This window comes from Homo sapiens, chromosome 4 (assembly GCF_000001405.40).
Source record: "Homo sapiens chromosome 4, GRCh38.p14 Primary Assembly".
NCBI classification, from domain to species: domain Eukaryota; kingdom Metazoa; phylum Chordata; class Mammalia; order Primates; family Hominidae; genus Homo; species Homo sapiens.
The window spans coordinates 181,804,715-181,819,992 of record NC_000004.12 but is presented as its reverse complement, the minus strand read 5'-3'; the positions used below and the strand labels follow the sequence as shown (position 1 = coordinate 181,819,992).

General features: G+C 41.3%; 1 protein-coding gene across 7 annotated transcripts in view; it reads right to left on the bottom strand.

Moving 5' to 3' along the window:
- Window positions 1-15,278, bottom strand: part of TENM3 (teneurin transmembrane protein 3) — a 1,355,412-nt gene that overhangs the window by 983,032 nt on the left and 357,102 nt on the right. The gene's annotated exons all lie outside the window — the stretch shown is intronic.

The window sequence follows — 15,278 nt, the reverse complement described above, 5'->3', positions numbered from 1 at the left end:
TTTTTTAGTATTACTACTCATAGAAGCTGGGAAACTGAAAAGGCAATATTGTTCCAGTTACTGTTTTTGTTGATAAAAATTTTGAGAACCACAGTTACTTCTAGATCAGGGGTCCCCAACCCCTGGGCCAGGAAATGGTACTGGTCTCCAGCCTGCTACCTACTGGGCTGCATATCAGGAGGGGAGCTGAGAGCAAGTGAGCATTAGGGCCTGAGCTCCGCCTCCTGTCAGATTAGCCGTGGCATTAGATTCTCACAGGAGTGTGAACCTTATCGTGAACTCCACATGGGAGGGATCTAAGGTCAAGTGCTCCTTATGAGAATCTAATGCCTGATGATCGGAGGTGCAACAGTTTCGTCCTGCAATCATCCCCCTGCCACCCTCCATCTGTGGAAAATTGTCTTCCATGAAACCAGTCCCTGGTGCCAAAAAGGTTGAGCACTGCTGTTCTAGGTGGCACAGGTGATTCTTTATGGAAAATTACGAACAATCCCGATGGCATGTCAATGAGATTATAGCATATCTGTTCTCCATGGTTGTGGGAATACATTAGCAAAAAACTGTCACCTCTTTGCCTGTGTTCTTTCTCCCTTTCCAGGGGTGAAATATATTGAATGACCTATTATTTTTATTACTTTTATTCTTTCTATGGAACTTCTAATTAACTTGTTTTATTTATTCATGTGGCATTGGTAATTGGATCTCGTTTTGGGTGGGACTAGGCCGATTGGGGGGGCAAAAAAACTTGAGAATGGACAGACCTGTCATTTAGAGGAGGTAGCTTGGGCAGATTCAGAGTGTAGGCACCAGAAGGCAATCCCACAGGTGTGCAGACATCAGAAGGAATCTCATGGTAGATGACAAGAGGCATAGCCAGGAAGGGAGGTAATTGGTGTCAGAGAGGTCCTTCGGGGCTCACCTTCATGGGCAAGTGAAGAGCCAGAGGCAGGTGGATGGCAATGAAGGGGAGTTCTAAATACAAATAGCTGGGACCTAACCATGGTCATGGTCTTCATGGGCAAGACTCACACATTAGTCAGGTTCAACCAGAGAAACAAGCCAGTAGGAGATATGTATTAAGAGATTTACTGGCCAGGCACAGTGGCTCATGCCTGTAATCCCAGCACTTTGGGAGGCCAAGGCGAGTGGATCACCCGAGGTCAGGAGTTTGAGACTAGCCTGGCCAAAGTGGTGAAACTCCATCTCTACTAAAAAATTTGCTGGGCATGGTGGCAGGCACCTGTAATCCTGGCTACTCAGGAGGCTGAGGCACGAGAATCACTTGAACCTGGGAGGCAGAGGTTGCAGTGAGTTGAGATCACACCACTGCACTCCAGCCTGGGTGACAATAGCTAAACTCCAAATCAAAAAAAAAAAAAAAGAGATTTACTGCACCATGCACTATGGCACACATTTACCCACGTAACAAACCTGTACATCCTGCACATGTACCGCAGAACTTAAAATAAATATAAAAATAAAAAAGAGATTTACTGCAAGGAGCTGGTGTATGTGGCAATGTAGATTGGTGAAGCAAGACCACAATCTATAGGGCGGGCCGTCAGGAAGAGAAGTTTTGAAGTTGGAATGTCTACAAGCTGAACCTGCAGTACCCAGGCAGAATTTATTCTCCAGGGAAGCCTCAATTCTGTTTTCACCGCCTTCCAACTGATTGAATCAGGCCCACTCAGATTATCAAAAATAATCTCCCGTACTTCAAGTTAACAAGTATGGACTTAATTAACATCTACAAAATACCTTCATGGTAACACCTAGAATAGAATTTGAGTGAATAACTGGGGACTATACTCAGCCAAAACTGACCATCGCAACTCATGTCTGAAGGATGAGAAAAGCAAGATGAAATATTTCAATCCCAGAAGAGTAGTACAACTAAGCTAAACTATAAAACAATGTGGGTCCCCTAGTAAGTCTTTGAGTCAAGGACAAAATGATTTGAACTAATGAATGAGGAAGAGAATTTGCTAGAAGGAAAGTCCAAAGCAGATATCAGGACCAAAGAGACCAGCAACAAACCACTACAAACACTGGACTTTGTAAAACCCCTGCCTACAGGGAGTTTTGGCCCTTGTCTAAGCCTGTTTGTGCTGCTATAACAGGATACAGCAGACTGAGTAATTTACAAAGAATCAAAATTTATTTCTTACAGTTCTAGAGGCTGGGAGGGCCAAGGCCAAGATGCTAGCAGGTTGGCGTCTGGTGAAGGTTTGGTCTCTGCTTCCAAGATGGCACCTTGAAGGTTGCATCCTCATATGGAAGAAGGCAGAAAGGCAAAAAAAGGATGAGCTCCCTCCATCAGACCCTTTTATAAGCGCGTCTAATACCATTCATGAGGGTGAGCCTTTGTAACCCGATCACTTTCCTAAGGGCACACCTCCCAATACTGTTACATTGAGGATTAAGTTTCCAAGGCATAAATTTTGGGGAACACACATTCTGACTATAGCAGCCCTTGAGTCTTCATCTCTAGGTGTGGGTTAAAAAGCACAGTCTACAAGGACCAGGAGACCTTAGGAGTAGGGCAGTAGTTCTAAACCAGAGGCAGTTTTGGTTCATCTCCCCAAGGGACATTTATCAATGTCTACAGATATTTCTGGCTATCACAAAGGTAGGGAGGTTGCTATTGGCATTCAATGGATAGCTACCAGTGATACTGAGGAAACTTCCTATAATGACCCCTGTGGCACCCACAATAAAGAATTATCCAGCTCCAAATGTTAATAGTGCTAAGGTTGAGAAGCCCTGGAGTAGAGTAATCATCATAGGTAGAAGGTGCTCAATATTCAATTTAAAGTAATCCTAAACTTTTATATAACTACTGAATATCTACAGAGCTCATGAGGAGGCAGCAGCCACAGCCCTGTGTACTCTCTGGATGCAGCATGGCATAGCGAAAGGAGCATGAATTTAGAGTGGAGTCCTGAGTTCAAAGCCAACTGTGACATACACTTTGCACGTGCAACTTGGGCAAGATGCTTAACCTTTTGCAGCCCCAGTTTACTTATCTATAAAATGAGAAACTATCTCTCATAGGATGATTAAGAGCATTAGTGATATTACCAGATATATGTTAGTTACTTTCACTTTTGTCCCCCAAAAAGTATTCGGCAAGTTATGACAATAATCTAGCCAAGAGAGGATAAGACTATAACTTAAGCAATGACATTATCGATGCATAAAAGTGATTCAAGTTTCAAAATATTTCTTAGAATCTACAAGACTTCTTGGCCTAGTGGATGGGGAAGATAGGAGGGAGAAGAGGAGCCAAGGATGAATAGAGTAGATGGGTGGCATTATCAACTGAGACAGGAAATCAGCAAAGGACCCAGTTGATGGGGGAAGATAATGACTTCATTTTTAGACATGTAATGTTGTGGGTGCCTTCAAGAAAGCCAGATGGAGGTACAGTGGTCATATTTACAGTCTGCAAACCAGTTTCATATATGTTGTTCCTTTTAAACTTTGATCCTTATAATAACCTGACGAAAGGAAGGCTTTATTATTTATAATTTTATAGATGTGAAAACTGGGCTCAGGGAGCCTAAGTAAATTACTGAAGACTGTCAAGACAGCAGGGGATAGAGTTTTCCTTTGACTCCAGTTCTTAATAATAAGATTTTAAAAAGCAAAATGTCAGGTGTGATAAGTGGCAAATGGAAAATGAGTAGAGGAATGAGGATTGATTTTTGTTGGTTTGTCTGTGAGGGGTTTACCTGCTCCTCAAAGACTGGAAGGTTGGGCAGAATGGAGCACTCAGATGGGGTCTCTGAAGATGGTACCAATCAGCCACATTGAGAAGACAGGACACAGGTTGCTGAGGCCACTATGAGTGGAAACGTCTTATAGTTTATTAACTACATGAACACAGGGGCTGAGAGAAATTTGAAACAAAAATGTTAGCAGGCATTGCCAACTCAAAAGAAAAAGTTGCAGTGATCATGCAAATCAATGGAAAGATATGAATGAACAAATTTTGATTTACCCGTAAGTTTTTAGAAACACATTTACTGAGACACATTTTAATCTCTGAACATTGATGCTCTTTCATTCCAATAGCAATATAAAGCATGCTATTCTGAGAAAGAGCTCTGAAAAGGCTGGGTTTTCACAGGTTTGTTTTTCACAGTTTTAATGTTTCTGAAGACTTACTTTTGGCCATGAGACATATATTCAAAAATGCTCTAATGAGACCAATTTGATTTTTAATTTAGATTTTCTAAATCTGAGTTCCTGAAAATCTCATCTAAGCAACCCCCACCCTCTGCTTATTTCTTGGAAAATGACAGCCTTCGGTCTCCCAGCTGTGTGATCAGTGGAGGGTCTCTTCCTACTGGTTACAGCAGCACCATCAAGACTTTCAAAGGAGATGTGGACTGTATTTTAATTAACCTCTATATTTTTCTAATATCTTCTATATTCAAGTTTCCCACATTTCGGGGGACCTATTAGACCATTTTCACTTTGTTAATGTATCATTCGTTTCCTCTACACCTTTTTTTTTTTTTTTTTGATAGGGAGTCTCACTCTGTCGCCCAGGCTGGAGTGCACTGGCATGATCTCGGCTTACTGCAACCTCTGCCTCCCAGGTTTCAAGCAATTCTTCTGCCTCAGCCTCCCAAGTAGCTGGGATTACAGGCACATGCCATCATGCCCAGATAGATTTTTTTTTTTTTTTGTATTTTTGTAGAGACGGGGTTTCACCATGTTGGCCAGGCTGGTCTCGAACTCCTGACCTCAGGTGATCCGCCCCCCTTGGCCTCCCAAAGTGCTGGGATTACAGGTGTGAGCCACCATGCCTGGCTTCCTCTACACTTTCACAGACTGCCATAGCTGCATGTTGTATTTCTTTAACATGATTTTAAACCAATCTCTTTTGCATCTCTTGTTACACTTCCTTTATTCCTAACCTTGAATAGATGTATTCTCCTTTTTCTCTTTTCCTAAATCAGGCTCTTGAGGGGTTTATCTATTTTATAGGCCTTTTTCAGATTTAATTATACTTTCTACTCTTTTTGTTTTTCATTTCATTAGCACCAATTTTTATCTTTATCCAGTCTCTCTTAGGTTCGTATTATTTGAACTTTTGTTCTTTCTAAATGTTTGAACTTTGGTTCTTTATATATTAAGTTCCTCCTCCCTCCCTCTCTTCTGCTTCTGCTCTGATTATGGATGTTGCTAGTCCCAAATGTTTGCTATGGGAATAGGGCCTAGATGTTTTGGGAAGGTCACCTCTTTGCAAATTATTTCATAATTTTCATTTGATTATGATCAGGAAAAGTTGCCTGTCAAATCTCTACTTTAAAAAATGTGTTAAGGCTTTTCTCTCCCAAATAAACTATGGATTTTTGTAATTGTTGCATGCACACACACACACACACACACACGCATTTAAAAATATATGTGTTGTAAAATTTGTCTATTTCCTATGAGGGGCTCTGCAGGTATCCATTCAGTGAAGTTTATTAACTGTATTTTCCAGCTCTTCTATGTCCTTACTTATTTTTCATCTACCCAATCTGTCCAATCTTGAAAGAGGTTTATTGAAAATGCTCACAAAGTTTGTGTTTTTGTTAAGTTCTCCTTGCATTTTTAATTGTTTAAAATTTGCTAAGGATTTTGGTCCATACTGGTTTATGGCTACTATTTTTTGTTTGTAAACTTTGTATAATAATATAATATATTGTATCTTTTTATAATGCTCTTCATCTTAAAGTCCACTAGTCATACCCATATACCATTAGTATCGCCCTTGTTGATTTGTTTTACATGTGTCTAGTACACATTGCCTTTTCCTTATTTTCAAATTTATTGCTGTTTTATATACTTGTTCTGTAAGCAGCATAAGGCCCCATTTTGTTTCTTAACCTTCTCTAAAGCCTTTAATGGGATGAGTTCTTTTATGCGTAGATAGTGTAATCATTGAAATACTTGACTTTGTTCCCTTTGTTTTCCTTTATGGTAGTATATATTTCACTACATATTTCTTCTTCATTAGTTTTTCATGTTTCATTAAGCTACTATTTTCTTCTCCCATTTTTTCTTATTAATTGAAAGTTCTGTAATTTTCTATTCCTTTGCAGTTTGCTTTCCCTTTCCCAACACTTATTCAGACACATATTTACCCACTATTATTTGAAAACAAGATGCTGACTACTTCCCTTTTCTCCTTCTACCTCCGTAAGATGAGACTCAGAGGAATACTTTGTCTTTTCCCCCGAATTTTCTTCTTTGCACTCCCCTCCCTCAGAGGCGACACTGAAACTCATTGTCCCCATTCTCAAATTACAGATTTCATTGAAAATGTGGTTAATATTTCTTTCTTACATTGAAATCCATCTCATTTCTGGACTATCCCTTACTGGTATTTTAGTCTTTTGGATCTTACTTCCTGGTCTCTTAACTTTTTCTTCATGTTTTCATTTGTGTATGCTGGATCTGGGTTTAAGATACAAACCACCTTTATTTAAGTCCACTAATTTAGATTTCAACACTGCCTTTCTCTTCCTCAAACAACCTATTGGAGATGTTTAAGGCCTACAATGCTTGTGTGCTTGACGCTTTGTTTGTTGTTGCTTTGGGCAACGTGCTTGATTGTTAACTGCCCAGATTATTCCTAAGTGCTCAGAGTTGTGGTCTAGCTCTTCCAAGGGCTCTGCTTTCCTGAACAGTTTGTGTTTGATCATTTTCTTTGGCTTCCCACTCTCTTCCCCACTCCTCTGTGCCACCCCTCCCCACAACATGAATGGGATTGCTACCCTTACAAGAGAGAACTCAAAGAGATCCCTTGCCTTTTCCATTGTGTGAGGTGACAGTGAGATGTCAATGAGGAAGCAGGGCCTCACCAGTTGCAGAATCTGCCAGTGCCTTGATCTTGGACTTGCCAGCATCCAGAACTGTGAAAAATACATTTCTGTTGTTTGTAAGCCACCCAGTCTATTTTGTAAAGGTATGTTGAAGGAGACACTAAGAGGTTATCTTCAAGAGATGGAAGGTAGACCATTCTCTTCCATAGTGGGTTGGCTGGGTGCCTCAGGAGGCAGCTATTCCCCCCAACTCAGGTATATTCAGTTTCTCCTTTCCCCGGGAGACAGGGGTTTTAGCCCTAGTAGAGGACTTCTCCTTGGGTTGTTGGGGCCAGGAAGACTATTTTTCAGTCATTTGTATACTGTGACTCTGATCATGGGTGAACCAAATTCCTCTGGATCCCTGAAATTCTGAGCCATGCTCAGTGAATGCCCAGGGTGGTATCCAACCTCTCATGTGACCACTCTGGACAAAGACCCCAGCTCAGCTGTCCTCCGAGCCAAAAATATTAATGATACTCATGTGTCTGCAAGCGCAGCATTTACTGGACGTAGGAAAGGCAGAGAAATTGGCACTCAGAGTGCACAGAAAGTGAAATATTTAAGTCCAGTCACTGTCTCCTAGAATCCTCTCAGTCTGATGCTTTTAAAAACATACACAAAAGTTGTCTTTTAAAAAGACCCTTTGGGTCGAACTCTCTATAAATAATCAGCATAACTAATTTTTCCTTTATAAGCATTGAAGTAGTATCAGAAAGTCATAAATTATCAGCCAATTTTTTTCTAAAGTTAAAAGCAGCAACTGAAAAACTAATATTTCATTCATGTTAGTTTTCTCATCCTTAGAACAATGACCTGATATTCTCAACAAATGCTCTAAGGTATTAGGAGGAAAAAAGTTTAGTTAGTGTTACTCGAGGATATTGGAAAAGAAAACAAAGTTTAGTTAGCGTTGTTACAGTTATTATGATATCTCAAAGCTTAATGAAAGCCACCAGCTCTAAAAAATTTCAGGACACTTTAAGTGAGCCAAAATATTTGGCCAGATTTGTGTCATTTTGACCTAGGCCTCTTAGTTCCTAGTGGCAAGAATGAAGAGGAAAAGAGAAACAAATTAAAAAAATGTGTTAACTCCAGCCAGATACGGTTTTTAAGAAAAGAGAAATTAACCATCATCAAAAGGCAATATTTGCCCTAAACATTAAATATTTGCGTTTAATCACACTCAATCTAGTTTTCGAAGAATGTACAAGTAATTCACAGTCTAAGTATTCACGGCAATGAAGTCCAGGGTATTCTGCAGGCCTAGTGTTGTGGTTTGGCTCTGTGTCCCCACCGAAATCTCACCTTGAATTGTAATAATCCCCAAGTGTCAAGGACAGGGCCAGGTGGAGGTAATTGAATCACGTGGGTGATTTCCCCCATTCTGTTTGTGGTAGTGAATGAGTCTCATGAGATCTGATGGTTTTATAAGTAGGAGTTCCCCTGCACAAGCTCTCTTGGCTGCCACCATGTAAGACGCCCTTTTGCTCATGCTTTGTCTTCCACCATGATTGTGAGGCCTCCCCAGCCATGTGGAACTGTGAGTCCATTAAACCTCTTTCCTTCATAAATTACCCAGTCTCAGGCATGACTTTATTAGCAGCATGAGAATAGACTAATACACCTAGTTAACTCAAAATGCATTTTCTTTACTTTGAAAGTGCTTTCAGAACTCTTGTATAAGTTTATGCCAAAATAACTTTTTGGCCAAAGTGTTGGAACCAGTGTTGGAAAGATACAGGCTTAATTACCACTTCTGTGGGCCATAATTGAGAAGAGATACATGATGGATTTTTGGATGCTGTCTGAACCAGGTATATATAACAAAAGTAACAGTAAATATATGTGAGATGTTCACAAGATACATAAATAAGAATAACTGGGAAGAGAGGTATTCAATTCTTAGGGTAGAAAAATAGCCTGTCAAGTGATCCTTTCAATTTTCAAGGCTGCTGCCTCTAAAATATTCTGTAGTGCATATTCATATGCTTATAGGAAGGACACTTGGCTTGGCAGACATATCTCTTGAATCAAAATAATTCAACCTACTCCAAATTTCTCGCTGCTTACTGCATCTCTCCATATGCTGCTTCTGCCAGCCTCCCAAAATCAACTCATCCAAATTTGGACACATTTTCTTCTATCCCCTCTTTCCTCATAACTCATCTTTCCTCTAGCAGCCTCTCTCTATATTGATATTTCCATGTAGTCACCCAGGCCAGGGAAGCTGGGATGCTACATCATCTTCCCACACTCCTTAGATCCAACCACACTGGAACGCTTGCCGCTCCCTGAACAGCCTCTGTCCCTGGCTTTGCATATACCGTTCATTTAGTCCAAGACTTCCTCAAGCAAATCTGACTTGAGGAAGTAACGTCCCTTCTTCAAGGCCCACTTCAAATGCCACTGGCATAATTCTGTCCTGTGGATCCGTGTTTACATCACTTCTTTTCTGTCTACATTTTGTTCATTGCACATGTATATATCTCTCATCAGACCATACTCTGTAGTGTTTAGGGACAGGGTTCCAAGGACAGTTTTATCTTTCAAAGTCTAAGTGCAGGGTCTTGTATGAATAACATAGTCAACAAAAACATTTGTTGATTCTAAACCTATTACAGCAGAAACATACTGCACTCACTACCCCCCAAGCAGAAATTCAGGAGCTACGAATGAGAAATCTAATAATTTTAGATTTTTTAAAACAGAGAGGAAAGGGGACTCAGATTCGTTCATTATTTACTGGGTGCCAGATGTTTCAGATAATTTGCTGGTTCCAGAAACCTGCTTGCCTGTTTCTTTTGCAGAGGATCGTACACAGCTGTCGTTGTTCTTCCCACTTCATGGCTGCAGACACTGAGGTTCAGAGGTTAAGTAACTTGCTAAAGGTCAAATAACTGGTAAGTACAAAAAGGAATTTTGAAGTCCCTTGTGTTTGGCTTTAGAGAGTGCTGCTTTTCTCCCACAGTGCACAGTCCTGGATCCCGTGCTTGTTACTTTTCATATGAATTGTCATTGCTTTTTTTTTCCCTGAGAGAAGATGATTTATTTACCTCGAGCCACCTTTGCATTAGTTTTTTATTGCTGCTATAACACATTATCACAAGCTTAGTGACTTAAAACAACACAAATGTACGCTCTTATAGTTCTGGAGGTGAGAAGTCCAAAATGAGCTTTAAGGGGCAAAAAAGAAGGTGCCAGTGAGGCTAGTGGCTTCTGGGGGCTCCGGGGAGAGTGTGTTCCCTGCCTCTTCTCCATTCCAGAGGCTGCTTGCGTTCCTGGGATCAGGGCCACATCGTCTCTGCTTCTCACATAACCTGAGCTGCCTTGGGCGTTCTTGCTTCCTGCTTATAAGGACCCTTGTGATTACAGTGGGCCGCCCAGATAATCCAGGAGACTCTTCCCTTCTCAGGATCCTTAATTTAAATACCTTTTGCCGTGCAAGGTAACATTTGTAGATTCTGGGGATTAGGACGCAGACAACTTTGCAGGTCATCATTCGGCCTTCCACACCTTCATAAGTGAAATGTGTATTGGTAAAATAAGATCTTTTCTTCAGCATAGTAGCACAGGAAGCTAATTGGTGGATAATGAAGTTGAATCAGGGATGTCCAACTCCGTAAGTAGGTCAGGGCAATACACGATCGAACCAACGAGCCACAAACAGAGACACCTGTTTATACAAACACCCGAACCGTGGATAATTGTGATAATTATATGTAAGCACTTATTGGCTCTAAAAAATTCAAAATATACTTGACGTTACTCATGGCCTATGGTCAAAAAGCCCCAGAGCCATTATATTTTAAAAACGAAATTTATGTTCTTCACTCCACTCTGCTGTGCAGTGGTCCTTTTTGAATTTGAATAAATACCCTGTGGTCAAAATTCCCCACAGAAATGCTCACTTTCCTTATAAGTATATGTTTGTTTCCAGCCCATCTGAATGGGAAGTGGCTCTCTTTAACTTCTTTCTTTGTGAGCTTCTTCAAGTGAACTAATCATTGAAGCCACTCCTGTGATCAACTGGCAGTTAAAAGACTCAAATGTCAAGATGTTTTTATCAGCCACATCAACAGTAACTTCCAGATTGAGTATTTTTCTCTCCGGTGTATGTCAAATATTTGGCGTGGCTTTTGTACCCCCGCTTGCAAAACAGAAATTGCTTACATGCTAATAGGAACTTCCTTGTCCAATTGTTAACACATCTCATCTAGAATACCCTTCACCTGTTAGTGAAAAAGATGATGGGACGTATTGTCCTGTAGCTGTTGAATGCCCTTTAGCCCTGAGAAGCAAGTATACCTCCTTGTGTGTACCCAGTATGTGATCGTAATAGAATTCCATTTTGTGGTTTGTGGAAAAAAAGTGTTTTAGAGCCAACCCACGTGTGTTTTCAAATTTCATACCAATATACATTCAACTTCCGAGCTGCTCACTTGCTCGCTGGCTTGTATCCCATTTTCACATGCAATTTCTTTATGAATTGAAGGGAATATGTAGGCAGGCATCTAGCTGTTTAAGAAAATAAATTTCTGTATTTCGAGCATGTGCCTTGCTGTAGATGCAAGACAAAATAGATAGGTAGACATCTCGGATTGCCAGTGAGGTTTTATTTTTAAAGATAGATTACAGAAAGTATCCTTCTCCAGGCTGCCCAACCTGAATGCTTCTACTAGAATTTTTTTCCTATTTAAATATTGCTCTGCTCCTCAATCAGTAATATAATGACCTATCTGAAAATGCCATATGTCATCAAACTATTTGGCAGCAAAAACCTATTTGAGACCCATTATTTAGTGACAGCAGTGTCTACTCGAATAAATAAACTTCATTATCTATATGCTCCAATCCATGAACATCTGTGAATGAAGAGATATAGCATATTGATTTTGCTATGGTACCTCGCTGCAATGTAGGTGGCATGACATCCGCTTACAATTTCAATGACCAGCCGCAGTTTAGAAATAAAAAATGGTTATCTGGAAACCTCTCAAACCAACAGAAGTGTAATCAATTTTTTATCTGTGGTTAGGCACTGGAAGGCAGTGGTGGATTTTCTATCCTCAGTGTTCTCATCCTTTTGTTAAAATATTTAGGGAGCTCCCATGGGAAATGCTACACCTAGATTGAAACTGTTTACATCAGGAAGTGAAAAATCTGCCCTTTGTATCTTGTTAGCCACAAATACATCCTTGTCTCATGGAGTCACTTCCCCTAGAGGATTATGGGATATAGTTCTCCTCTAGTTTCTGAATATCCTTCTACTGAATGGCTGAAGCCACAGGGACTCACTACAACCTTGATTATTATTTAAATTCAGCATACAATTTCACATCATGTAACTTTAACTCCCATTTAGGTGGGAACATACTAATTTGACATCTAGAAGTATTCCCAATAATGTTCTTTTGATGATTATGAAAGAAAAATAATCCTATACTGGAAGATATGATAGAAATGTTCCTAGGATTGGCCAGGTGCGGTGGCTCACACCTGCAATTCCAGCACTTTGGGAGGCCGAGGCAGGCGGATCACCTGAGGTCGGGAGTTCAAGACCAGACTGACCAACATGCAGAAACCCTGTCTCTACTAAAAATACAAAATTATCTGGGCATGGTGGTGCATGCCTATAATCCCAGCTACTCGGGAGGCTGAGGCAGGAGAATCACTTGAACCCGGGAGGCGGAGGTTGCGGTGAGCGGAGATTGTGCCATTGCACTCCAGCCTGGGCGACAAGAGTGAAACTCTGTCTCAAAAAGAAAAAAAGTGTTCGAAGGATTGGTAACATGTCTTAGGTAAGTAATCGTTACATTTAATACGTTATTTCTTTTTAATTTTTGTTTACTTATCCATATTTATGGAAGATACGCTATTGTTCAAACATAGTCAAAGTGATGGAAAGGTGAAGAAGTTGTGCTCTCTCCTGTTGAGGAATTTGCGATTTGTCTAGTAAGAGGAAAGATACATGCTTTCAAATAACTACAACGCAGGGTAGAAAAGAACAGATGCCATGGTAGAATTATAAATGAAAAAATATCAGGTATCTGAGACGGGAAACTTCCTAGAAAGAACAGCAACAGGAGAAGGCCTGGTGAAGGAGGAGCATTTGTGGTGAATGAAAGTTAAGAGTGACTAATTGATGGAGTATCTACACTGTGTGCCTGACAGTGATGGGCGAGACAGATACAGTTCAACCATGGAGAAAGACCTGAAATAAGACTTTACACAAAAATGAATCAGTTACAAATATGATCCATCCCTGAGGAAGGATAGGGTTTGAGGAGCCCATGGAAGCAAAGGCCCTAGTTGAAGGATTCTCCTATTACGTGGTATCTTAGTCTGTTTTGTGCTGCTATAACAGAACACGTGAAACTGGGTAATTTGTTAAGGACAGACATTTATTTCTTACAGTTCTAGAGGCCAGGGACTCCAAGATCAAGGCACGGGCAGGTCTGATGCCTGGTGAGGGCCTAGTCTCCTCTTCCGAGATGCCATCTTGAAGGCTGTGTGCCCCGAAGGGGAGGAATGCTGTTCCTCACAGGGCAGGAGGGTGGAAGAGCCAAGAAGCCCTTTTTAAAAGGCATGAAACCACCCAGGAAGGTGGCGCATTCATGGCCCAATCACCTCTTAAAGCTCTCACATCTTAATACTGTCACAACGGCAATTAAATTTCAACATGAGATTTGAAGGGAACAAACATTTGAATGTTCAACCACAGCAGGTAGTATTTAGGCCGGGGGTGGGGACAGCCAGAAGTACAAGAGACAGGTAGCACAGTCGAGGAGGAAATAAAGGGCAGAATTAAGATCCAGTCTGTCTCAAGACACAGGCGTGGGGATGACAGATGTAACTACAGTAAACGCAGCTCCTTGGGGCTTCAATGACATATGGGATTCATGAGCAGGTATAGGAATTTCTGGGCTCAGAAAGCTGAACTGAAAAGGGAAAAAGCAAACTGCGAATTATTGATTAAGTACTACGGACCACGTATTTTATCAAGTTCTTTATACATACATATTACATTTAATTTATAATGTTCTTATTTTATGGATGAGGGAAATAAAGATTTAAAAGGCTGAATGATTTCCCTAAAATGATACTGCAGGTTTGTAATGTTCACTGTTACCTGAAAATATCGGAGGATGGCTTAGGGGAGGGACTCTGAATCCGGGTGGAATACCCTTATTTTACGGGGAAAGAGATGAGAAGATACTAGGCTATTCTTCCACAGATGGAGAGCTGGACAGGCAGAGAGTCAGGATTAGAAAGTTTATGTCAATATACGTGTCATCAATACAAATTAGAGAAAGGAAATAAGGTGAGAAAAAGTTTAAATATGGAAATTTCTAACTCTTTATTGCTTCAGAATTAAGCCCCCATATTCCATCAAATTCCATAGCAGAGCTTTGCTAAGGTTCCGCTGCAAATGGGTGACACGTGCACTGAGGTATTTATCCTCTCAGCCCTCATGGTGGAGGGAACAGATTTGTTGGGAGATACACACACACACCACACACACACACACAAAAGTGCACACACGGCGTTTGTTTTTAAGGATCAGTTGAACGTTGAGAACATAGAAACTCTGAACAGAACCTCAGAACAGGAGCTAGTCTGCGGATTCTGCAAGGAAATTCTTCCCTGAGGACATGACCTTTCCGTGGGCACTTGAATGAAGGCAAAAGAATGGGGGCTCTGCGAGAAGGCTAGAGAGACTGGGAACTACAAGTAGAGTGAAGCCTGAGGCAAGGGGCTTCCACCGCAGGGAGGTAGAGGTGGCCAATGTGGTCTGCACTTTAAGAGGAGAGTCCCAAGCAGCACGTGGACGGGTCACAGGGGAGACTGGAGCGGGTGGAGTGGTGGTAACGGTTTTGCGTGAAGGTTAAAGGATTTGGGTTTTCATCCTAATAGGAATGGAAAGTCGTTGAGTCAATGAAGGTAGGTAGGTTGTTGAAGCTTTTTCTTGGGGAAGGATGTTCATATGATCAGGTTTTCATTTGCAAATAACTCTGTGGAGCAAGTGTGAGCACAGCAGAACTCTTAGGAGGCTGCTGCAGGTGCAGCTTTAGGCTGTATGACGGCAGCAGGGGCAGAGAGAAGCAGATGCTTATGAAGACCCATAGGAGGCTGGATGGAGGAGAATCAGGGGACGGGTGAGAGACAAAAATCCAGCAGAGTGAGGCAGGGAATTGGGGAGGGGTGAGAAAAGGCACCGGGAGTTTTCTCACAGGCTGCCCCGGATATAGGCATATGGTCTGACCTCCTTTTTTTCCTCCAGAAAGACAGGTTTCTGGCAATGTTGTCCAGGATGGAATCAAACTCCTGGGCTCAAGAGATGCTCCTGCCTCAGGCTCCTGAGTAGCTGGGACTACAGGTGCCTGCCACCACACCAGGCATCCACTTCTGACT